General features: G+C 42.6%; 2 annotated features.

Moving 5' to 3' along the window:
• Positions 7,148–7,348: a silencer, noted in NCBI's record as "peak2366 fragment used in MPRA reporter construct". NCBI's record gives its function as "represses an SCP1 promoter by STARR-seq MPRAs in K562 erythroleukemia cells {active_cell/tissue: K562}" and the evidence as "EXISTENCE:reporter gene assay evidence [ECO:0000049][PMID:32103011]".
• Positions 12,887–13,117: a silencer, noted in NCBI's record as "fragment chr15:62407814-62408044 (GRCh37/hg19 assembly coordinates)". NCBI's record gives its function as "represses an EF-1alpha promoter that drives an FKBP-Casp9 reporter gene in an ReSE screen in K562 erythroleukemia cells {active_cell/tissue: K562}" and the evidence as "EXISTENCE:reporter gene assay evidence [ECO:0000049][PMID:32094911]".

A 25,229-nucleotide genomic window follows, 5' to 3' on the forward strand; every position in this document is an offset into this window, starting at 1 on the left:
CTACATGAAATGAAAATGAGATAAGAAGTAGATTTACCATGAAGATAATGAAGCCTACACTTCCCTTATTTGACAGCAATCCTAAAAATGTTACATGGCATTACCAATAATGAGTTATGATACTGAGAGTTTTCTAAACTATAAATAACAAAAAAATTTTGGCCAGGCCCAGTGGCTCACGCCTGTAATCCCAGCACTTTGGGAGGCCGAGGTGGGTGGATAACCTGAGGTCAGGAGTTTGAAACCAGCCTGACCAACATGGAGAAACCTCGTCTCTACTAAAAATGCAAAATTAGGTGGGTGTGGTGGCGCATGCCTGTAATCCCAGCTACGGCTGAGGCAGGAGAATTGCTTGAACCCAGGACGTGGGGGTTGTGGTGAGCTGAGATCGTGTCATTGCATTCCAGTCTGAGCAACAAGTGTGAAACTCTGTCTCAAAAAAATAATAATAATTTTTTTCCAATCATTCCTACCAAAGGAAAGACTATCTTTTTATCCTCTCTTTCAAAAACAACATTATAAAATCATTGTCATATAAGAATGTAATCAAATAATATGCAGCCAAAAATGGGGAAAGTACCACAGAGGTGCTAATTAATTAATAAAAATGTGCTATTTTCCTAAATTTTGTCATGTTTGTGGTATTTCTCAGCTCTTTCTAATCTGTAATTTATGACCTCTTTTCTCATTCTAACTAAATATTCACATTTGTACTTAATTTTGTATGTGTAATTCTGTGTGTTTTATTGTTGCTGTTATTTTTAGAGAGACAACCAAAATTGTATAAGCTGTAGGCCTTACAAAACCCGCAGGCATCCCTGGATTCTACCTTTTTGGCAGTGCCCAGGAGGTGGCCTGAAGCTTTAAGCTTACTTCTTGTGGTCTCAGCAGTTCCCGGTCATATATCCTCACACCACAAACCCAGGGAGGAGAAAGCGTCTGTGGCTCAGCATTCCCAGCTTAAGTCTCAAGTTCACTCTTCTTGGACCAGCTTAATTGCCCACCGCTTGAATCAACCATCCTGTTGGGGACGGGATATTTTGGAACGGATAAGCCAATCAGGGAATTGGAGGTGGGGCCGCTCCCACAGAAGCCACATAACTAAGAAAAAAGATGGAGGGATAGTTTTCAAAGGCAACTTGGCGTACTTGGTGTACTGGGACCAGAGAGGAGGGGCACCAGTGCTGGATGAAAAGCAATAGGTATCTTGGAGCTGAGGCTAGGGCAGGTCAAGTGAGCACTTGCCTCAGGTGCAGAATTTCAGAGGGCACCAAAACCTCAACAACAAGATGAATAATATTTTGATGTGATACTTCAAAAACATTGAAGTGACAAACTACAGTCTGCAGGCCAGCTGCCTATTTTTATAACTCGTAAGTTTTTATAACTTTTGTTATAATGGCTGGGCTACCTCCTTTGGGAGATAGGTTCTGCCCTGTCACTGTCTACAAAATTGTTAATATTCCCAAAGAAACTGTCTGGGCCCCCAAGCCCTCTTTTAAGCCAGGAATTGTGACATTTTCATATCTTATGACTCAGCTCTTCATTGGTCTCCTGATTCTGTGAAGTGTGGAGAAGGCAGAGGAAGCCCCATTTCACTAACAATTAAGATCTTCTACCATATTAATAACACAGCTGTTGACTAACAAATGATTTAGAAGAAACAGGAATAGTGGTGGTCCTTGGACTCAGGCTAAGCCTCTGCCAATATTTCCAGCCTCACATTCATGCAGCTCCACTGCAAGCTGATGAAGCCCTGCCCAGCCAAATTCCTGGGGAGGACACATGAGATCTGCTGGGGATAGATGGATGAAGAGGCAGCCCCCAGCTGCCAGCCCAAGGCAGCCCTTGCCATCCTGTGAGGATGTGTTCTGGCTTCAGTTGCTGAGCCAGGCTTTACCCTCTGTGGCAGCTGCCAAAAAGTTTCAACCCACTCTCATGCTATCAGGGGTTTGCGGTGCCTAGAAATAGCCCCAGGCATTGGTGAAAGGTGAAAGGCATCTTTCCAACTCACGTATGTGACCATATAGCCAGTATTTCATTAACAGGAGCCAGAGGTAACTGAAAGACGTGACTAGTAACTCATAGGCTATCCAAACACATCATTTCAATTAACAGTTTCTATATCCTTCTACGAAGTACATCCCTGGATTGCCAGTAAGAGCCACTTGTTGGTTCTGTGACCCTGGGCGAGTCACTTGGACATCTAACTATTCGGGTGTTCAGTCTCTCCATGTGTGAGGTGAGGGGGTGGGCTTGAGTGATCATCTCTGAGGTCCTTTCCAACTCTGGCAGGCTATAATTCCGCCAGCAGAGGTGTCATTTCCTCTTCTTCCCTTTAGCCCCAAGACAGCTGTAGAGGGCCCAGAGGGGCAGGGCAGGAAACACAACTTCATCCGTCTATACTGGCAAGTGAAACATAAATCCAAAATAAATTTGGGCTTATTTTTCAAGAACTCTGTCACCTAGTGTTAGAATTTATTTTTTAATAATCTCAGAAATATATTGCATCTCCAAATAAAATTGTTTCTTCATGTTTGCGATAGTTTGGGTCCTCTGAGATGCAGACGCCAAAAGAGATTAGCACACAAGAGATTTTCAGAGGGAAACACCTGTGAGGGAGAAGGAGCAGGTGGCAGGGGAGCCAGAGGAGCTGAAGAGACCCTTCAGATCACAGGTGGCAGGTCGGCCACCTGTGACGGGAGAGGTGGAAGAAAGGAGGGCTGAGTAGGAAGAACCTCAGACTAAAGCACAGCTCTAAGAACAGTTGCGTGAGGCTGTGTGTTACTCTGCTAGGGCTGCCGTAACAGAGGTACATAGACTGGGTGACCTCAACAACGGAAACGTATTTTCTTGCCGTTTCAGAGGCTACACGTTCCAGATCAAAGTGTTGTCAGGGCTGGTTTCTTCTGCCACCTCTCTCCTTGGCGTGTAGATGGCCATATTCTCCCTGGGTGTCTTCACGTGGTCTCCCTTTCGTCCATGTCTGTGTCACAGTCCCCTTTTCTGATTGGGACACCAGTCAATTGGATTAAGGCCCATCTCAAAGACCTTCTTTTAACTTCGTTATCTCTTTAATGACCCTAGCTGTGAATACAGTGCAGGCATACCTCATCTTACTGTGCGTCACTTTATTGCACTTCACAGACATTGTGTGTGTTTCTGTTGTTGTTGTTGTTCTTTACAAATCAAAGGTTTGTGGCAATCCTATGTCAAGCACGTCTTTCGGCACCATTTTTTCCCAACAGCATGTACTCATTTCATGCCTATGTGTCACATTTAGGTAATTCTCATAATATTTTAAACTTTTTCATTATTATGTCTGTGAAGGTAATCTGTGATCAATGATCCTTGATGTTACTGTTGTAATTGTTTTGGGGCACCATGAAGCACATATAAGATGGTAAACTTAATCTATCGATGTGCTATGTGTTCTGACTGCTCCGCCAACTGGCCATTCCTCATCTCTCTCCCTTTCCTTGGGCCTCGCTATTCCCTGAGACACACCACATTGAAATTAGTTGTTATTAGCCAAGCTTAATAGGGCATGTCCAAAGCCAAGACAGGCTGAAAGCTAAGCCTCTTGCACCAAACAGTTAGACAAGTTGTAAATGTGAAGGAAATATTCTTGAAGGAAATTAAATGTGCTGCTCCAGTGAACACACAAATGATAAGAAAGCAAAACAGCCTTACTGCTGCTGATATGGAGAAAGTTTTAGTGGTCTTGATAGAAGATCAAACCAGCCACAACATTCCCTTATTCCAAGGCCTGACCTAGAGCAAGGCCCTAAATCTATTCAGTTCTATGAAGACTGAGAGAGGTCAGGAAGCTGCAGAAGAAAAGTTGGAAAGTAACAGAAATTGGTCTGTGACGTTCAAGGAAAGAATCTGTCTCCGTAACATAAAAATGCAAAGTGAAGAAGCAAGTGCTGATGGAGAAGCTGCAGCAAGTTATCTAGAAGATCTAGCTACGATAATCAATGAAAGTGGCTATACTTAACGACAGATTTTCAGTGTAGATGAAACAGCCCTCTATTTGAAAAAGATGCCATCCAGCGGTGGCTCACGCCTATAATCCCAGCACTTTGGGAGGCCAAGGCGGGTGAATCACCTGAGGTTAGGAGTTTGAGAACAGCTTGGCCAACATGGCGAAACCCCTTCTCTAATAAAAATACCAAAAAATCAGCCAAGCATTGGGGCAGGGGCCTGTAATCCCAGGTACTCAAGAGGCTGAGGTAGGAGAATCACTTGAACCGGGGAGGTAGAGGTTGCAGTGAGCCAAGATTGCACCACTATACTCCAGCCTGGGTGACAGAGCAAAACTCTGTCTCAAAAAAAAAAAAAAAAAGAAAAGAAAAGAAAAAAGAAAAAGATGCCATCCAGAACTTGCATAGGTAGGGAGGAACAGTCAATTCCTGGCTTCCAAGCATCCAAACACCAGCTGACATTCTGGTTAGGGGCTAATGCAGCTGGTGACTTTAAGTTGATATAAATGCTCACTTACCATTCTGAAAATTTTAGAGCCCTTAGAATTATGCTAAATCTATTCTGTCTGTGCTCTATAAATGGAAGAACAAAATCAGGATGACAGCACATCTGTTTACAGCATGCTTTACTAAATATTTTAAGCCTACTACTGAGAACCACTGCTCAGAAAAAAAAAATCCCTTTCAAAATATTACTGCTCATTGACAATGCACCTGGTCATCCAAGAGCTCTGATAGAGATGTACAAGAAGATTAATGTTGTTTTCATGTCTGCTAACACAACATCCATTGTGTAGCCCATGGATAAGGAAGTCATTTTGACTTTTATGACTTATTATTTAAGAAACACATTTTATGAGGCTACAGTAGCCATAGATAGTGATTTATCTGATGGATCTGGACAAAGTAAATTGAAAACTTTCTGGAAAGTTTTCACATTCTCGATCGAGTGAATATCAGGAACTCCAGGCTGGGGGATAGAAATGATGTCTTCAAAAGCCTCATGCACAAAATGACAGCCACATAACATTATCACACCCTGGTTAAATCATTAACTAGGATCAGCTGGATGCAAGAAGGAGTTGTTGTGACTGTTGTCAGTCAGTAATAAATACAAAGTTTCAAGAGGATGGGTTCACAGATGCAGATTCCTCCTGCTTTTCCCTCATTTCCTCCTTGCCAGGAATTTAATCTACACTTCTTCAGGCTAAAAACAAGAGACATGACTCAGCTCAGACTGCAGTAGCATACTCTGCAAAGGCCAAACCTACATACTTACTAAACAGTCCAGTCTTCTAGTTCATACCTGCTGACCTCCAGTTTTACCTGGTAGCTCTGCCTGGTAGTTTTGCCTGGTAGTTTTTACCTGGTAGTTTTGCCTGGTAGCTCTGCCATCTCTGCCTTGGCTGAGCACACAAACCTCGTGTACTACGGCAAGCACAATCCCCTTCTCCTTGTAGCAAAACGAAGAAAGGCTATAGGCTCTGTCCTCCCCACAAGTGTGACTGTGAAGGAAAGACCAGGCTTTCAATACCAATTTGCCTTTTACTAGGCATACCACTTTGAGTAAATTATTCAATATCTCAATGTCTCAATTTCCCTATCCTTAATTTGTAAATAAGAGGAACTACCTTGCAAAGTTGTTATGAAAACAGAGATCACAATGCAAGAATGTCTCCTAGCATGGCGGTTTCATAGCTGGTAGTCTACAGATAATGAGCCCTCCACCCCATCCCCAATTGCCAGAATATTATTTTTCCCTACAGTCAGAACAAAAATTCTATTGTCAAAACCGTTGATAAAATCAACAAATTCCTGTTTCTATTGTCCTTGAATTTCCTCATTTCCACCCCATTTATATGGCCAGAGCCTGTCACTGAGGCCAAAACCCACTCTCTGGGAAGGTTCCAATATCAGTCTTTCCCACTTCAGTGTGAATTTCTACATCTCTAGGCATTTCTCCCGGAAGCATGACATGGTAACTGTCCAACTTCATTGAGGAAAGAAAGGCTTTACCTCTTGGTAAAGTAAACCACATCAATAGCAAGGATTCTTCTGGTGGCCCCAAATCACACCAAATAGCTATCCCCCTTTCACAAGGGCGGCTCCAGCTGAAACAGCATCTTCCCAGGGGACTGCAAACATTTTTAGTAGAAGACATCTCTTCTTTCAAATTAAATTTTGTCCTGGATCCCAGTATTTACAAAACAAATACAAATTTTACTAATATAAATTCATTTTACTTGAAATTTATAAAGTTTGCCAATTATAACCCAAAATAGTATAAGTAAGAGATAAATAAAAGACTCTCTTAAAAATGAAACTTTACTATTTAAAAAGTATAGGAGATGATGGAATTGTTAACTAGCCTGGTTTAACCATTCTACATTGCAAACATATATCAAAACATCATATTATACCCCAGAAATATATACAGTTATAATTTATCAATTAGAAATAAAAAAGAAATGTTGACATTAGATGACAGTTAAATTTTTTATCATCTTTAGTAACATGTTGTTGATGTTGTTTTATTGTTTTGGCTACTCAGTATCAGGAAATCCTTACCACACAGATAAGTAATGCTTAATGGTTCCCAGATTTTTTAATAGGTCTCTGTCAACCTCATGGGACATATTGATAAAACTGTCATTTAAACTTGAGAGATCATATTACACACACACATATATATATATATATATACAAAGATTACATGTTTGTATATAAACACTTAGGTGTGTATGCATGTAAATATCTCATAATAAATCACCCAGAAAAAACACAATAATTGCTTAAATGATCTACAATATGATACTTTCACATTGCGATATGTTTGGCATTTATTGGTTATTGCACAAGTGAGAACTGGTCTGTAATGAGAGTGTGTGCCAAGCAGATGCATCTGAGCTTGGCATGGCCTTTAATCTGGTGTGACCCACAGAAGCTATGCTAATGCACATGCACAGCCCTGATTTTAAGACAAGACCAGTGGCAACCTTCCAGGTCAACACACATGTATAAAATATTTAAATATATGTACAAGAGATATCCAGATAATTTTTTTCCAAGACCACAGAATAAACTCACAATAAATGTGCTCATGTATTCTAACAGTTAAAATTAAAATATTATCTATTTGATTATTCTGACTGTCTTTTATCATGATTTAAATATGCTTTACTTTTTCAATAAAATTTGACCCAAGAGTTTGCAGATCCCCTGAAGCAACTCTGCAGAACAATTTGAAAGCCCCTGATTCTAGTCCAAACAGATGGAGAAACCAGGTCTAGAGAATTACAGGGTCTTGTTCCGGCTCACATAGCCCATTAGTGACAGAACCACAACAAGAACCTTAAACCTCAGCCTCCCAGGTCAGTGCTCTGACCAATGCCCCAAAGTGCTGGGAGACTCCTGGGCCCCACAGTATGGGGCGTGACAGATATCAGTTGGTAGCCTAGCATGAAATCCTTTTCCCACGTGGGAGAGAAAAGTCCCGAAGTGACCAGTGACATTTATGACTCAGCCTGTGCTGAAGAGCTTGGAAAAATAATGTTTGTTAGGTTTGGTTTGGTTTTTGAGAAAGAGAGAAGCCAAGGTACATCACACTTAAGTGTAGAGGTGCTGGGTGTGCACTGGGGAAGCCTCTCAATAAACATGGAGAGGGGAGCGATGCCTGCCATGGACTAGGGTGGAAAGGGGTGGGTTGGGGGGCTGGGTTTGAATCTGGGCCAAGAGAAGAAGGGTGAGTCCAGGAGGCCTGCAACAGCAGTCTCTCCATCTGCCAGACAATTGCAACAGCTATTCTAAGCACTGGCCTGAGGCCAGACTTTATTGATTTCAGCAATAAAATTACATGTTCCAGAGCTCATCTGTTTTGGACCATAAATGACAAAAAGAGCTATTATAGAGTGTCAGATTTGTCCCTCTGTTTGGTATGATGTCTCCTATATAATACTTGTTTGGCCTCTACAAATGATTCATTTAGGACAGCAGAATTTCTGAGTCACTGGCAGAATAATTGACTCACATTTCTCTCATCATTATTGTGTGTTCTTTCTTGCTGGAGCCAAATACTATTCATGTTTCCCTTCGTACATGTTAATATTAATGTCACCAGTGGGCTGTGCTTTCTTTTTGCCAAGCAAAGACATAGTAAACATGATAATAAAACAAAAGGCATTTTCAATGTTGGTGAAGTCCTGTTTTGAAAGGGTACAACCACATTTTCTGATCATGGAACAAAAGAACAATTATCCAACTTTGAATTATCAAATGACTCCTCCTCCCATCCTAATGCCTACTTAAATCCCTACTTAAAATGCCTTTCTAGCGTTGCCTCAGTGAAGCCAATTTCCCCTTCCTACCCATACGCACTTACCTTCTGTCTAGGGCTCAGGAAGCAATGCTACACCTTCCTCTTTGCGCAGACTCCCTCCTTCCTGCAGACAAACGCTGTCATTTTATCCCTGTGTAATGTGAGGGTCTTTTTCAGGGAGAAGAGAACAGAAACCCTTCAAACTAGCTCAACAAATCACAGGGACTGTGTTGAAAGGAAACAGGTGTATCTCAGAGTAATCAAGGAAAGGCAGAAAGCGGGGCTGAGCCCATGAGGAGATGGGGCATACCTGTGGGAGCAGAGCAGGTGGTCACACCCCTTGGGCTCCTTCTCTAAAGAGGTTCATTTTCTTTCTTCTTTTTCTTTTTACTTTTTTTGAGACAAGGTCTTGCTCTGTCACTGATGCTGGAGTGCAGTGGTGTAATCATGGCTCACTGCAGCCTCTACCTCCTGGGCTCAAGTGATCCTCCCGCCTCAGCCCCCGAAGTAGCTGGGACTATGGGCACACACCACCATGCCCGGCTAATTGTTTTGTTTGTTTGTAGAGATGGGGTCTCCCTATGTTGCCTAGGCTGGTCTCAAACTGCTGGGCTCAAGCAATCTTCCCACCTCGGCATCCCAAAGTGCTGGGATTACAGGCATGAGCAACCGCGCCCAGCCAACAAGTGCATTTTCAACAATTTAAGGAGGCACGTTGGTAAGAAAGTTATGCCCCCAGTGTTGTAAAGTCAGAGGAAGAAGTGCGATAAGGGGTGGATGCGTCTAGCCATAATTGATACACCAAAGGTCAACCCTGTGACTTATAGAGAAGGTGGTCCAACAGCACCACACACAATGTACATATACCCATCAGCTAGTAATTCAGGTCTCACCCTTGACCCAGCCCAAGTTCATCCTCAGACAATTAGGGTGAGGCTCACTGATTTGTGGGGGCTCCCCAGAGTTAGACCATGGCTATGCTCTTGGCTCCAGGAACCCCCAAACTCCCTGAAATCCAATCAGCTTCTCTCTTTTCTTTTCTAAATATCTTTTCAAGTCCTGATCATTTGGGGTGGGGGCAATTTTATGTCCTCATGTGCAAGTAATCTCTGCTCTACATTGCCCCCCAAATGGAAGACCTGAAGCTTGTGTACGATGAGAAGGAAGCTTTCCATCATTAACGCAGTGCATACCTGTGCTGTGATGATGTGTTCCCTCATGCTGGCAAGGTGACAACCCCCAAGTGTACTTCCGATTTAAAGTTTTGTTTCTTCATCATTTAAAAGGAGTGTTTATTTATTTTGAAAAGGGGTGTGTATTTTTGCAGCACCTTCCTAAAATTATAAACCCTAGACGTTTGTGAATGGAGGAGGGTAGAGCAGATAACTGCCTGTCTACTGAGCAAAGGATATGGGAATAGACTGAGAAGAAAGGGAAGAGGGGAAAGACAGGGAAACTGGCCTGCATAGTTGCTATCATGAGGAAGTGAGTCTGAAGATGCATTGGCATGGGAATAGGAAAGACAGAAAAATCCCATTGAAACTAACTCCCCTGGAGCTACAGGTGGTTTTTCTTGACAGACAGAAGAGTTACTAGCTACAACCACCATGTTGCTGGAGACTGCATTCCATCCTTGGACAAGGGGATATTCAACCCTGGAAGGAGATGGCCCTGGAAGGAGATGGCCCTGGAAGGACAACGCTAGTGGCATTGACTTGCCTGCCATGGAGCTACTGACTCCAGTCTCTCCCAGTTTGTCAGGTTTTTCTACAGGAGTGTTTGCCTTGACCCTGCTTAGAAACAGGGCATGGCTCCAGCTTCTGCCAGCCTATCACAGTTGAAAAAATAAGAGAAAAAGAAGAAAGGAAAACATGAAAGCAAAGGAAGGGAAAATAGCCCGTTCTAACTTCCTTTGCCTTTGGGGCACCCGAGAGCCACTCCTGCCTACCACATGAGAGTTTGTATTATTGTCCCCTTTAGACTGGAGAGGACACAGAGACTCCAGGAGTTAAATGCCCGAGGACACGTGGTTGATGAGTGTCAGAGCCAGGATTTAAACCTGAGTCACTCTGACTTCTAGGCTTGTGTGCACAGGCACTGCTTGTACTCCCTGGGATGATCTCATTTCACTTGTCTGACTGTCGAGGAGTAATTAAAGTTCAACCCCTTTCCGTTACCGTCACTCACACACATTAACACAAACCAAGGCCCTGCTGTCCCTTGGTCAGCAGCACTGTCTCCCTGCAGAAGTCTGTCCACCTACTGGCCCTTTAGTCTAACCCCCCACCCCATCCATGTGTCCTACCCATTCAGCCCATAAAGGTGGCCCAGGCCGTTCCTATATCCTGTCGGCTCCCACTCCTCTTGCTCTGGTCCCATCTTTACTAGACTCCCAACTCTTGGCTCTACAGCCTACCCCACAGCCTCTCACCAGCAAACCCCTCCAAATTTGGTATTTTTTCTGATGTCCTGGAGTTCAGAGCCAGTGTCTTCTCCAGACTTCAGCTTGGTCCGTGTCTCTGGTCTTTGACTCTCTGCTGCCATGGAACCTGATCATGGTTGCCTGGCCAGCTCCCTGCCCTGGAAGGAGCAATGCTGCTTAGCTAGAGACTCTTGGCATCTCAAGCAAGTCCTCACTGCCCTGACACCCACTGTTCTCTCTCAGGTTCAGGGATCAATGGGTCCAAGAACAGATAGACAAGCAGTAACAAAGGCCAGGGGAGCCAGGGAGGCCCACTGTTCCTACAGATGGCCAAAGAAGACAGCTGTAGGGACGAGACATGCACAGTGAGCAAAGCCATCAGCCCCTCCAGAAATCCATGGGAACTAAAGGCAACCCCATGTCAGGCTGGAGGAGAGCCCGCAGCGAGGGGACAGCAAGGAAGCCACATGATCTGCTCTCCTCCCCATGGAAGAAGCCCCCTCCACCTGCCCTCAGGGCAGGACAGAACCCTGCGTCTCCACAACCTGGCACTGGAGAGGCCCTTAGAAACCACCAAGCACAACACTTACCCTGTCTATGAAATCATTTTGCCTAATCCTCTGTAAGGGGTGATCCAGCCTTGTTCATCTGATAGTTCCAGTGCCAGGGAGCTTACTGCATACCTCCTTTCATTTTCAGATAGCTCTGACCGTCAGAAAGTTCTTCTTTTCTTATGCAGTTCTCACTTACTTCTAGTTATTTTTTAAATTATTTTTATTTTTTGAGGCAGGGTCTCGCTCTGTCACCAAGGCTGGAGTGCAGCAGCTCAATCATGGCCCATAGCAGCCTCGACCTCCGCGGGCTCAGGTGATCCTTCCGCCTCAGCCTCCCTAGTAGCTGAGACTACAGGTGCATGCCACCACATTTGGCTAATTTTTGTCTTTTTTTTTATAGAGGCAGGGTCTCCCTATGTTGCCCAGGCTGGTCTTTAACTCCCGGGTTCAAATGATTCGCACACCTCAGTCTCCCAAAGTGCTGGGATTACAGGCGTGAGTCATAGCAGCCAGCGGTCTCACCTCTGGTTCTTACCGACTTCCTCAGATTTATGAAAATGTCTCTCACTTTCCCACAGGTTTTCTCATTTTAAGGCTAAACATTCCCAGGACCTTCCATAATTCCTCATAGGGTGTTTTTGGTGCTCCAGGCCATCCTAGTGTCTGTGTCTATGATACACTCCAGTGCATCAAAGTCCCTTTGGGACCCTTGCAGCACCTAAACCTCCTCCAGCGCCCTACATGCTATCTGCTCTGTAAAAAGCAGGGTGGAATGTTTCACCATCCAGGCACCATACTCCTACTTTTTAAACTATCGTTAATTGCTTTCTGGCTATGGGATACTAAATCTTCCAACAACGATCTGAGGTTTAAATTTAGTTTTCTCGTAGCCCAGAACATACTGTTGGCTCTCACAGAGCTACTTGTCAATTAAACTCCTAGGTCGCTTGTGTGTGGACTGCTGTTGGGCCTCATGTCTCTCTCTCTCTATTGGACAGTTCATGTTTAAAGCCTAAATGCAAAACTTTATATATCCATGACACTCTACCTTGCTAAAATCAGTTCACTATTCACCTTGCTGAAATCATTTTATGTCCTAATGCTGACATCAAACTCAGTATCATACATTTCTTAATAAATCTCTGCAGCCAAGTCATTGACATAAATATTGAACATGACCATTCAAGATTAAAAATCTACAGTATGCAACCGTATGCATCTAGAAATCGTCTTCCAATCATTAATTGATAATGTTTTAGGTTCCACCTTTTAAAAGGTTACAGATTAACTCTCTAGTAATTCAATCAGCATTTCTCCAACTTGCTCCATACTATCACGAAAGAGTCTAATACCTTCTTGCAATCCAGATACACTATGTTCATTGTACACTTCTGCTTCTGATCTGACCTGCAAATAGTCCTATTTAAAAGAGAAATAGTCCGGGCGCGGTGGCTCACACCTGTAATCCCAGCACTTTGGGAGGCCGAGGCGGGCAGATCACCTGAGGTCAGGAGTTCGAGACCAGCCTGACCAACATGGAGAAACCCCGTCTCTACTAAAAATACAAAACTAGCCAGGCATGGTGGCCCATGCCTGTAATCCCAGCTACTCAGGAGGCTGAGGCAGGAGAATCGCTTGAGCCTGGAGGCGGAGGTTGCGGTGAGCCGAGATCGCGCCATTGCACTCCAGCCTGGCCAACAGGAAAAAAAGAGAGAGAGAAGTAAAGGGCATGATTTACAGTGAACTGTTCTTGGCTTCTGGTGAATTTCTACTCACTAGACTGAGAGTTCACAAAACTTTCATTTAACAATTAGTTGTAGAGTTTCTAGACTCCAGCTTCTTTCCTTTTTTGACAATTGGGGCAGTGTTTTCCTCTCTCCAATCTTTTAGATTTTTCCTGTTTTCCATAATTCTTCAGATGACTGACAGGCATGCCAATCTCATTTACATGCAATTTGCCTGAACCAGGATATGAAGCTGTTCAAAACAATCAGGTGGTGGTGGTGTTTTGCCATTCCTTTCTGCTATCTTGAGGTTCAATTTCCTGGTCTCCACGTTTTTTTCTTTCTGTAAATCATTAACATTGATAGGTGAGTGAAGTTAAAAAACAGTTGTGCTTTCTCTTTGTCTCCCATAAACATTAATTACACCACCTACCCTAAATAATAGGCTTGCACCTTTGCAGTTCCTCCTGCTCTGAACCAAATAAAAACAGTTCTTACTACAGTTCTATATATATATATTTTTTTTTTTTTTTTTTGAGACACAGTTTTGCTCTTACTGCCCAGGCTGGAGTGCAATGGCGTGATCTCAGCTCACTGCAACCTCTGCCTCCCAGGGTTTAAGAGATTCTCCTGCCTCAGCCTCTCAGGTAGCTGGGATTACAGGTGCCCGCCACCACAACTGGCTAATTTTTGTATTTTTAGTAGAGACAGGGTTTCACCGTGCTGGCCAGGCTGGTCTTGAACTCCTGACCTCAGGTGATCCACCCGCCTCGGCCTCCCAAAGTGCTGGGATTACAGGCGTGAGCCACTGTGCCTGGCCTTACTACAGTTCTTACAATTGTCTTTAATTCTAAGTTCATCCTGGGCTTTAGCCATCCTGACTTCATCTTTACCTGCTCATTCATCCCTTCGGCAAATTTTTTTTTTTTTTTTTGAGATGGAGTTTCACTCTTGTTGCCCAGGCTAAAGTGCAGTGGCGCAATCTCGGCTCACTGCAACTTCCACCTACCGGGTTCAAGCAATTCTCCTGCCTCAGCCACCCAAGTAGCTGGGATTACAGGCATGGGCCACCATGCCCGGCTAATTTTGTATTTTCAGTAGAGACGGGGTTTCACCATGTTGGTCAGGCTGGTCTCGAACTGCTGACCTCAGGTGATCTGCTCACCTCGGCCTCCCAAAGTGCTGGGATTACAGGTGTGAGCCACTGCACCCAGCCCTGGGAAAACTTTTATTAGAGAATCTGTAATGACTGCACTGGAGATACGGAGCTGGATTAATTATAGCCCTATTCTCAAAGAGCAAACACCTCATGGGTAGGGAAATAGATTCTGGGTTTTTTGTTTTTTTTTTTTTTTGAGACGTAGTTTTGCTCTTGTTGCCCAGGCTGGAGTGCAGTGGCGCGATCTTGGCTCACTGCAACCTCCGCCTCCCGCCTGCCTCAGCTTCCCGAGTAGCTAGGATTACAGGCATGCTCCACCATGCCCGGTTAATTTTGTATTTTTAGTAGAGATGGGGTTTCTCCATGTTGGTCAGGCTGATCTCGAGCTCCCGACCTCAGGTGATCCGCCCACCTCGGCCTCTCAAAGTGCTGGGATCACAAGCATGAGCCACTGTGCCCAGCCTAGGGAAATAGATTCTTACATTCAACCTCCTCATAATTCAATCAGCATTTCTCCATCTTGTCACCGATTAAGATAATGCAATTGCTTCCTAGTCATGTATTCTCTTTTTGCTAAATGCTGGTGTTTGTGTATTTGCTTCCACACACCTTCTCAGCAAGCAGAGCATCACATGTCACTTCTTTGAATATACAATCATGGATTGAATGACAATGTTTCGGTCAACAATGGACCGCATATGCAGCAGTGGTCTCATAAGAGTGGAATATGTAATTTCACTGTACCTTTTCTATGTTTAGATATGCTTAGATACATAGATACTTACTACTGTGTTACAATTGCCTGCAATATTCAGTACGGTAACATGTTGTACAGGTTTGTAGCCTAGGAGCAATAGGCTATACCCTACAGCCTGGGTGTGTAGTAGGCTATACCATCTAGGCTTATGTAAATACACTGTATGTGTGCATATACATAGCTCCTAGGCAATAGGCTATACTATTAATATGTAGCCTCGGTGTATAGTAGGCTATACTACACACCTAGACTGATGAAATCGTCCAAAGAAGCAACACATGACTTTAATTAGAAAACAAACAAAAAAAAAGGTATCTGGGGGAAAAAAGGATGGTAGCTGGTAGCCTGTATGTCAGGACACAAGTAAAGGTATTTACAGTGCATGCTGCAGAAGAGAAAGAACAAGGAACAGAAAACCTTGGCATTATAACTGCATTTCCCTATTGGTCATAAGGCAAAGAATTAAGGCATGCATTTAAGTGGGTTTTTGGGACAAGATGCAAGTGGCAGACAAGAGTCACCAGCTTCAAGTCAAAATTGACAAGCAAGCAGAATATCTCTTGGCATACATCTAACCAGCCATAAAATAAATGCCTATACAAGCCTATCATTTAAATTGCAGGGGAGGCAGACCCTGAAACATTTCTAAGGGATTACACTGACTTAATACTCACAAAAAGTTTAAAAGTAAAAATAAGGGTATTTTGTAAATCTGTGACCTCAGAGTCTCCAATTCTGTGTTTCTCATAAGGCTTTAAGTTATTTAACTGCAAAATTCTCCCGTCCCAGGGGTTTCAGGGCTTAAGAAGGAGTCAGTGATGTGTTAAAGCAGAGGAGCCATGGAGCAGGGCTCGCTGCGCGCAGAAGCTTCTGGGGCAGCAGCTTTTGAAATAGACTTTTGAGGATGAGTGGGCAATGACAGGTTAGAGGACAGGGGCATCTGGGCAGAGGGCCAGGAGCTGACCAAGGGAAGGAGCAGTGGGAGGGGAGGCCAGCAGTGGTCAAGCCAGTCTCCAAAGGGCCTCATCCATTACATCAGGGAGCCTGGGATTCTCCTGAAAGGAAAGGGGAACTACTACAGTTTGTGAGCAGGGTGGTGTGTCATAAGCCAGCTTGTGATTTTCGGACAAGGCAGGAGACAGGTCGCAACAAGGTCTCCCTAGAGAGCAGCTCTGGGAGCTTCCATACTGTGCTTTGGTTTTATGTGCCTCTTTTGTATATTATCCTTAAGACAAGCAGTCTATTAGCTAAGTGATGAAACAGGGATTAATTCCGTTCTTCCCTTAAGAAGCTGTGAAACATTTTTTCCGGCCGCTATTTTTCTGTTAAATCAGGACATAATACCTCCCCTAGCTGCCTGATAGCCAAGAAGAGCTACTATATTTGGACATCTTACTGTGAACCAGACAGTGTGCATATGCAGCCTCTCATTTAATCCTCATAATGTCTTTACCCGGAATGAACTATTAATATTCTCACTATACACATGAAAAAACAGAGGGTTAGGAAGGGGATGTGATTCTCCTTAGATCTTATAAGTGACGTAGCCAGGAGATTCCTTTGCTGAATTTCCCAGTAATTCCAAAGGTAAACCGTGTGAGGCTCCCATTGGATTCTAGCTATTACTGCAGTCATAGGAAGTAGTGGGAAAACCCTTTCATCCTGCTCAACTAAAGTTTCACTTTCCACACAATGTGCTTCCCTTCCCTCTCCTATCAAGCTGGTGCTGCCGACATGTGTTTAGAATATGGGGTTACTGCTTTTAATTGCAGTCCCACTCATGCCTTTTCAAAAGACAGAGGTTAGGGCAGCTCAATTCAGGTCTCAGCTTCAGCAATACCGTAACCCGACTTGCCTTCTTTTCACTTACTCATCATGCCATGATTCAGAAGCCTGTTGTTCTCAGGGTAACTCACATTCATGCTGTTGCATACAGGCATTGGTCCTGACTTCCTGTTATTGCATCACTCTTATTTTTAACTGCACTGGGATTAGATGACAGAGCCTAAAGTAAAAGTAGAACCAGAAATTCCCAGAAACTCTGGGGCAGAATTGGTCACACGGTTTTGATTTTATGGTGTTTTTCCCTTGATGGAAGATAAGATTAACATAAATAATATAATTAAGGTGGCTGGAGTGTGATGAAAATAATCTAAGAGCCGAAGTCAGAAGAAGAATTCCCCGTTTCCTTTTTTCTGCTAAATTTAGAGTTGTTTTTGTTAATTGAGACATAATTCACATACTACAAAATTCCCCCTTGGAAAGGGTACCACTCAATGGTTTTTAGTATATTCACAAAGTTGTACAACTATAACTCTAATTTCAGAATGTTTACATCACCCCCCAAAAAGAGTCACTGTCCCCATGAGCAGTCCTTCCCATGCCCGTTTACTGTGTGCCAACATCATCTAGACTGTTTGCTCCTCCTCATCTTTCTCTCTCCTCTCCCTGGAATCCTCCAGCTGTCACCAGCCTGGTCACCAGAGATGAAGTCCCTCTGGCTGAGCACAGGGCCAGGGTCATTGCCATTTCACTGACCATAAACGGATGGCTGTGCCGCCCTACACAATGTTGTCTCTGACAATGAAGGAACCCCATGATCTTGCTATAACTGATAGAGAGAGTGAAAGGGTATATATGCAGTCAGAGAGGGAGGCGAAGCTGCCCCTCCCTCCTCGCATGGTTTCTGGGGCCCAACCATGCTTGAGAAATGGGCCCTCCAGGATACACAATATCAGACTGATGGATTAGGAACACTGCAGCATGCTCTGAAATCACCCACATAATTCCCGCCTCTTGCATCACGCCCATTGAAGGGAACACATATTCCTCACCCTAAGTTTTCAGGAAGAAGAGAGACTTCATTCTCTGAACCCCAAAAGGTGATGTGTACAAGGGACACCCCTCTCTGGCCCCTCATTCCCTCCTTCCCAAGGGAGGGAGACTTAGCACCACTTTATGTAACATGTAGTTTTGTCTTAATTATTGTCTGATCCTCCACTAGAACATAGTGTCCCAGAAAGACAGACAGTTGGTTTATCCTTTCCACTGCTGCACCTCCAGTGCCTACAACTGCATCTGACACAGAGTAGATGTTCTGGAAACATGAATGAAGGAGAGGGTCATAAAGTGCAAAAGTGGCATGAAGTCAGCAGTCAAACCTGAACATGGCAGTCTGTCCGCCACTAATGTGAAAAGCTCTGAATGTTGAGGCTCGCATTTCTTTACAAATTATGTTTTATCATATTTAAAAATTGTGTGTTTCACAGGCACTTAGAAAAACAGGCCCATTGTTTGGCAAGCACAGGCCCACAGCTAGAGTTGGCTACTACAACTTCCTGGCCACTCTTCTGTTCTCAGGCCTCAATTTCCAGCCCTGTCCATCCATACTCAGCTGGAATCCTGGCTCGGTGGCTGAGGCATACTCAGAGCAGGCTGCTGGTTTTCCTCCTCCGGCACGACTGCCTCTCTTCTCAGCACATCCCTGAAGCCCCACTAGAAATGCAGTGATGTGGAGAACATCCTAGTTAAGGCAACACCTCTCAGAGCTGTATGTAGTCATGTTACCAAAAAGTGGTCCCGACCTAGACCCCAAGAGAGGGTTCTTGGATCTCAAGCAAAAAAGAATGGGGGCGAGTCCACAGAATAAAGTGAAAGTGAGTTTACTAGAGAAGTAAAGAAACAAAAGAATGGCTACTCCATAGAAAGAGCAGCCCTGAGGGCTGCCATTTGACTATGTTTATGGTTATTTCTTGATCATATGCCAAACAAGGGGTGGAATATTCACAAGTTTTCCGGGAAAGGGCCGGGGATTTCCCAGAACTGAGGGTTCCTCCCATTTTAGACCATATGGGAAGTTGCCATGGCATTTGCAAAATGTCATGGGAGTGTCTTTTAACATGCTAATACATTGTAATTAGTGTATAATGAGCAGTGAGGACGACCAGAGGTCACCACCTTGTTTTTGGTGGGGTTTGGCTGTTTTTTTTTTTTTCTACCACATCTCATTTTATCAGCAGGGTCTTCATGACCTGTAGTTTGCAAAACCAATCCTGCAGATTCCTATCTCACTTATTCGAACACCTGTGACAATTATAAGCTGCTTGACTTGGGGTGTAAAACGCCAAGGGATGTGCTCTGGTAACAACAGGTAATAAATACCTTGGCTGCCTTTGGAGTTTCACTTTGCTGAGTGGAGTGTACATATTTGGATCCACAGCCGAATTGCCCAGACCACAGAGAGGACAGGCTCTTAGTGGTGACATGCCTGTTGCACTGCTCTTCCCCCAGGCAGGTGCTCCTCTAAATAAATGTTCTGCATTTCTTTGAAGGGGCTCTAAACTGTTATCCCGCCCAGGGTGCCCATGCATGTCAGCCCACTCCCCTCAACCCCATGCTGTACCCCACAATTTACCATTCCTACCAATCCATTTTACCTTCCAACCTTGCCCCCACCCCATGGTGGTCTCAGCCACCACCACTAGGCAATAAGAGCTACCACTGGGTTAAAATGACAATTGTTTTAGCCAAATTTCCTCAAAATAAACAGAGTCCAATCTATGTTCAGTGCTATCCAAGATCATCCCAGACTCACTTCTAAATTTCGTTTCAATGGTTTCCTAATGGAGCTTCAAGACAATTCACACTAAGTCTTTTACCCAATGGAACCCTTGTCTCTTAGCTTCTGCAGTAACCTAGCAATCCAAATTCAAAAAGAGGAAGTGAAGGGCTTGTGGAAACTGGGTCAGCATCTCTTAATGGTGTTGATTCAGCAGAGAATCTAGGCCAGTGACATTTTGTCATGACCTACATTGCGGTAGAACCTTTCATTATACATGGAACTTGAGGCAAGGTTGATTATCTTGGCCTGTAAATGAAGGCACTTCCCCCTCATTCTTGCCAAAGAGAGTGGAAAAACACTTTTAAAAGTCACTCTACCAACTTTAGCCTTAAGATATTGGGTAAGCTACTTGGCTCTGGGTTTCAATGACTACCAGTTGCCCAACGGCATCTGGATGGCTGCTCTGCAGCCACTGTGGGTTTGTTTATAACCCGGGTTTTCAGGATAGAGGCTTTTTATCTTCTTCCCTAAGCAGAGAACAATAACCAGAGTGTGTTTAACCATGAAAGAATAAGGGTAAGCAAATTTGACTTTAAGGCCATGACGTCAAGTGGGGTAAAGAGTCAGTCTCGTTTTGCAGGTAGTTTCACGCAGGTTTGGGCCATATGAGGTCCACCCAGGGTCAGACCGTGAACTCCCTGACATCAGTCCTACAGACACACAAGGAGAGCCTGTTAGACCCGGAAGTATATTTGTCCCTCACTCAGATATACAAAATAATCTGCTCCCAAAAATGTGATTATGGTAAATATTACTTATTTTGTTAGTCTTAGAGCAGGCAGCGACACTTTCTATGCCCTGCCATTGACAAAACCATATGGCCTACTAAGACCAATTTTTAGTGAAGTAAATTCAAGTCCATAAATATTTTATCATTCAAAAATACAATTCCTAACTTGTCAGTAATGGTTACTAACATTTTCTAGAATCTCTTGATTGTAAGGTTAATTTTCATTGAATGTTTCAAGCTCAAGCAGCCTTCACTGCTTTTTATCACTCTGGGTAGAATGGACCACTTTGTTCCCACAGTCCCCTCTACATGCCTTTATTGAAGTGCACATCACTGATGCTTCCAGTTTTGTTCATGTCTGTCTCCATATTGTCTCTCGATGTTATTAAGGGTCAAGGTCATATTTTGATCATCTGTATCTTCTCAGTGCTTAGTATAGTGCCCGGTACAAAGCTGACATCAAATATATATCAGTTGCATAAGTAAATGGATGAAATCTCTTAGAACAGTGCAAAATGTACGGTTTCTGCAGTCAGCTTAGTTTCTTTCATTAGCCAAATCATGACCAATAAGCAAGATTGAAGAGTTAAAATATGGACAAGAATAATTTCTCATTTTCCATTTTCTTCATTTCATAAAGTTTTCTTCCAACTATCCCGTTTCTTCAAAAAAGGATATTTGTATTTTAAGGATATTTTTATTTCTTTTAAGAGTTTATATTATGTAAAGCTGTAAATTCTGCACAGAGATGAGTATAATCCACTATGTAACAAGAGACTGGATTTTTGTCCAGGCTCTAACAATAATCAACTGTGTCACATTAGGAAAGTCACTTCCTTATCTGTTGAGAACAGCTAGAGGTGGCAGATGAGTTTCATCTCAAGGATCAACTCCAATCAATTAGTAGTGACCAGATAAAATACTGTATTGAGGATTCTAAAATCCTATTGACATCAGTGGGAAAGAATGCTGGGATCAATTAGTGAGGTCTATAATGAATATGGTGGGAAAGAATGATGGAAAATAAGCCAGATATTAGCCAACCTAGTATAAATGATCTCACCAGTCCCCTTCAAGCTCTAAAATCCTGATTTGTCTTTTATTAATTCACAGATTACCCAGAATATTTTTAACATTTATAACATACACATATATATATGGCCAGGATATATTCAGTATTTACTAAATCCTGGCACTATGCAAAGTACTTTGCATGGGTTGTCTCATTTCCTCCTCACAACACTGCTAAGAGGCCCACACTATTATTATTCACATCATACAGGATGAGGAAACTGAATCCAGAGAAGTTGAATGGCTTGCAAGTTCACACGGCTATTAACAGTGAAATCGAGACTCACATCCTGAGCACCTTTCTCCCGGAACTATGCTCTTAATCGTTATGTTGGGTTAGATAGTCTACTTTGGCTTCCTTCTAAACAAAACAAAACAAAGAAAACCTAAGATAATGTCTGCAATAGAAAAAAGAAGCATATTCAGCTGACAGGAAATTGCTTGTATTCCACTCTGACAGACAATGATTTGCAACGTTAAGTAACAAAGGGCAGTACAAATATTGACTGTTCCTGAATCACTGATACTGTAAGCAAGTTGTTTGAAATACACATGTTCTTGGGAAAATTCAGACACGTAATCATTTTTCAGTAGTACTATAGAGTTCATGAAGTTAAGATATTTTATGTAAAATAAAACAGGAAATTAAGAAGTTAAGAACATCCTTTGAGGCCTTGATGCTAACAGATATTCTTTTAGATAGGTGGTCAGCAACTTTTCCTATCACATATCATCCTCAGCCCCCTCTCAGCTCCACTGACTTCCCTGACACTCAGCAGATGAGCTCCTCTCTCATTTTTCCTTTTAGGCCAGGTAGACTCATCCATTACACCCCTGCCAGGTCATAATGGCAAGCTACCCTGCAAAAGCTTTTCTAGGTTCAGATTAGAAGAGGTGCTCTAATTCACAGATTGTGGCATGATAGCTTCCTAGAAATGGCTACACACAGCCAGAAATGGCTAAACAAATTTAATTTACCAATAGGTGGAGCATGAGACCTGGCCACACTTCCTTTCACTAAAACCTCAGAAGCACTACCAACCCTCAACGTTAGAAAAGGTCATTTACATGGATGCCCAGAGGGTGGGAGAATGTGCATACTACTTCACAGAGGAGGACGCTACATTTTGCTGCATTTTGTACATGCATTTTCTTGTGTCTTTACTCTCATTTCCCTACTCACTCCTCTCTATTCAAGACTATTCCTTATGTCATCTAGGCTCTGATCTCATCATTTATAACTTTCTTCTTTCCTACATTGGGTTTAAATTAATTTCCAATTACTCATTAAATACACTAATGGATTCTCCTTTTAAGAAATTCAGACATTACAGATAAGGCTAAAGTCCCATAGGCAGTTGAAAATATAGATCTTGAAGGAGAGGTCTAGGACTAGTAGCTTAAATGTAACTGAAGCTTACCATTGGTCATCATGATGGACAGAATTTTCTCCTCTGTATTAAACTTTAAAAAAAAAAAAGTAGTTCCCTCCTCCTCAGCATAAGTTGCCTCAAATCACTTTTACTTTCAGAAACAAAACAAACAAAACCAAAAAACCCTCTCTTTTTCCTAAATCTTCCTCTAGCTACCATCTCTTTTCCTCCTCTCCTTCCAGTCACTTCTTTTAAGGTTTTCTCTGTATCTTTCCGTTTATGCAGTTTCATTACAATGTATCTTCTTCCTGTTTACATTGGGTTAGACCTAATGACAATGAACATAAATTTATATCAAGAGCAAAACAAAACAAAAAAACACCCAAGTTTATTTAATTGCTGCCTTCTGCTACCCCTTGGCCCAGAGAGCTGGGAGTAGGGATGGGGAAGCCAGAAGGCAGTGCACGATTAGACCCATCTGGTATATTCTCAGACAGACAGACAGAGGGCCCCCTAACGGTAAGCAGCTGCTTCTTCCAGTTATAGGACAATATTTGCATCCTGGAATTCCCAGCACACTGTTAAGTACTTGGCACAGCTGGAGAGCAGGTTATTGCTAAGTTAAGCACTTCCTTTCACAAAAGCTTATCTAGGTGTAAGTGATTATTACCAGAAGTGTCCAGCTCACTTCTCTACTTCATCCCTGTCAGTCAATCATACTCATATGTTTACTCTCATATATTTACTCTCATATCATCACATATCATCATAATAAATTTGTTTATGCTTTTAAGCCTAAGATCCTTCTAATTTTTTCTGGCAACACTCCAAAAAGAGTCTCAATACATGAGGTATTAAGCTATTAAATCCATGGATCAAAAGGGAAGGCCCAAAATTTTCTCTTACTATAACATTCCATATGTACACAAACAAACCAGAAATAAATTCTCTTCATAAAAGGACAGCTAGTTGTCTTGATAAAATTTAATAAGTAGTATCCATTCTTTCCCCAAAGATTTAAAACCACTTTTACCATATGGATTAGTCCATTTTCATGCTGCTGATAAAGACATATCTGAGACTGGGCAATTAACAAAAGAAAGGTTTATTGGACTTCCAGTTCCACGTGGCTGGGGAGGCCTCACAATCATGGCAGAAGGCAAGGAGGAGTAAGTCATATCTTATGTGGATGGCAACAGGCAAAGAGAGAGCTTGTGCGGGGAAGCTCCCCCTTATAATACTGTCAGATCTCGTGAGACTCACTCTCTATCACAAGAACAGCATGGGAGAGACCTGCCCCCATGATTCAATTACCTTTCACCAGGTCTCTCCCACAACACATGGGAATTCAAGATGAGATTTAGGTGGGGTCACAGCCAAACCATATCACCATAAACTTCATTTTTAACTATACAGGGCTCTGTTTTCTTTCTTTTTTTTTAATGGTTCTTTGATCTTTAATTCTAGTCCAATGTCAGTACTATGCTGTTCTAATTGCTGCAGTTTCTCATTATATTTTGATATTTGGTAGGGTAAGTGCCCTTTTATTGTTATTTTCAGCAAAAATATTTTGGAGGGGGATCTAGTCTATACACTTGGTCTTCCATGTGAACTTCAGAATCAGCTTGTTATTTTCTATTAAATATTATTTTTGAATTGGTATAGGGGCATATTAAATCAGTGAGAATGAGCTGGACTTTATAATATTCCAGTATTGGAGATAACCAGATAACTACATGGAAAAAAGATAAAATCATATTTACTATTGTCACAATTTATCAAGATATTTTCAACATGGACAAGATATTAATGCAAAAATAAAACGACAAAAATACTTAAAGAAAATGTGAGTGAATTCCTCTATAAGCTGTGAATGTGGAAAATCTTTATATGACTCAATATCCAGACAAGGTAAGGAAGATTGATAAAGCTGACCACATTAAAAAAAATTAATGGTAAAAGACTCCAACAAATGACAAAGTAGACACATGACAACTGGAAAAAATATTAGCAACTTGTATCATAGGTAAAGAGTTGATACCCTTAATATACAAAGAGTTTCTAAAAACAATCAATAACCCTATGGAAAAATAGGCAAGAGATAAAAGCAAAATAATAAGAGAAATGCAACTTAAAGTTTTTTTCAAATCTGCTCCCCAAATATCACCAACTGATAATACAAAGCCAAGTTTCTTGCTTTCATTCATAAGGGAGAATATCACTTCAACAGAGCTTTCATAGCGTCTTGGAGGGAAAAGTAATGTAAGATTTTATTAAGAATAGGAAAGTTGGGGCCGGGTGTGGTGGCTCACGCCTGTAATTCCAGCACTTTGGGAGGCAGAGGCAGGCAGATCATGAGGTCAGGAGATCGAAACCATCCTGGCTAATACGGTGAAACCCCATCTCTACTAAAAATACAAAAAATTAGCCAGGCGTGGTGGTGGGTGCCCGTATTCCCAGCTACTTGGGAGGCTGAGGAAGGAGAATGGTGTGAACCCGGGAGGCAGAGCTTGCAGT

Source organism: Homo sapiens, chromosome 15, assembly GCF_000001405.40.
Source record: "Homo sapiens chromosome 15, GRCh38.p14 Primary Assembly".
Lineage (NCBI taxonomy): Eukaryota > Metazoa > Chordata > Mammalia > Primates > Hominidae > Homo > Homo sapiens.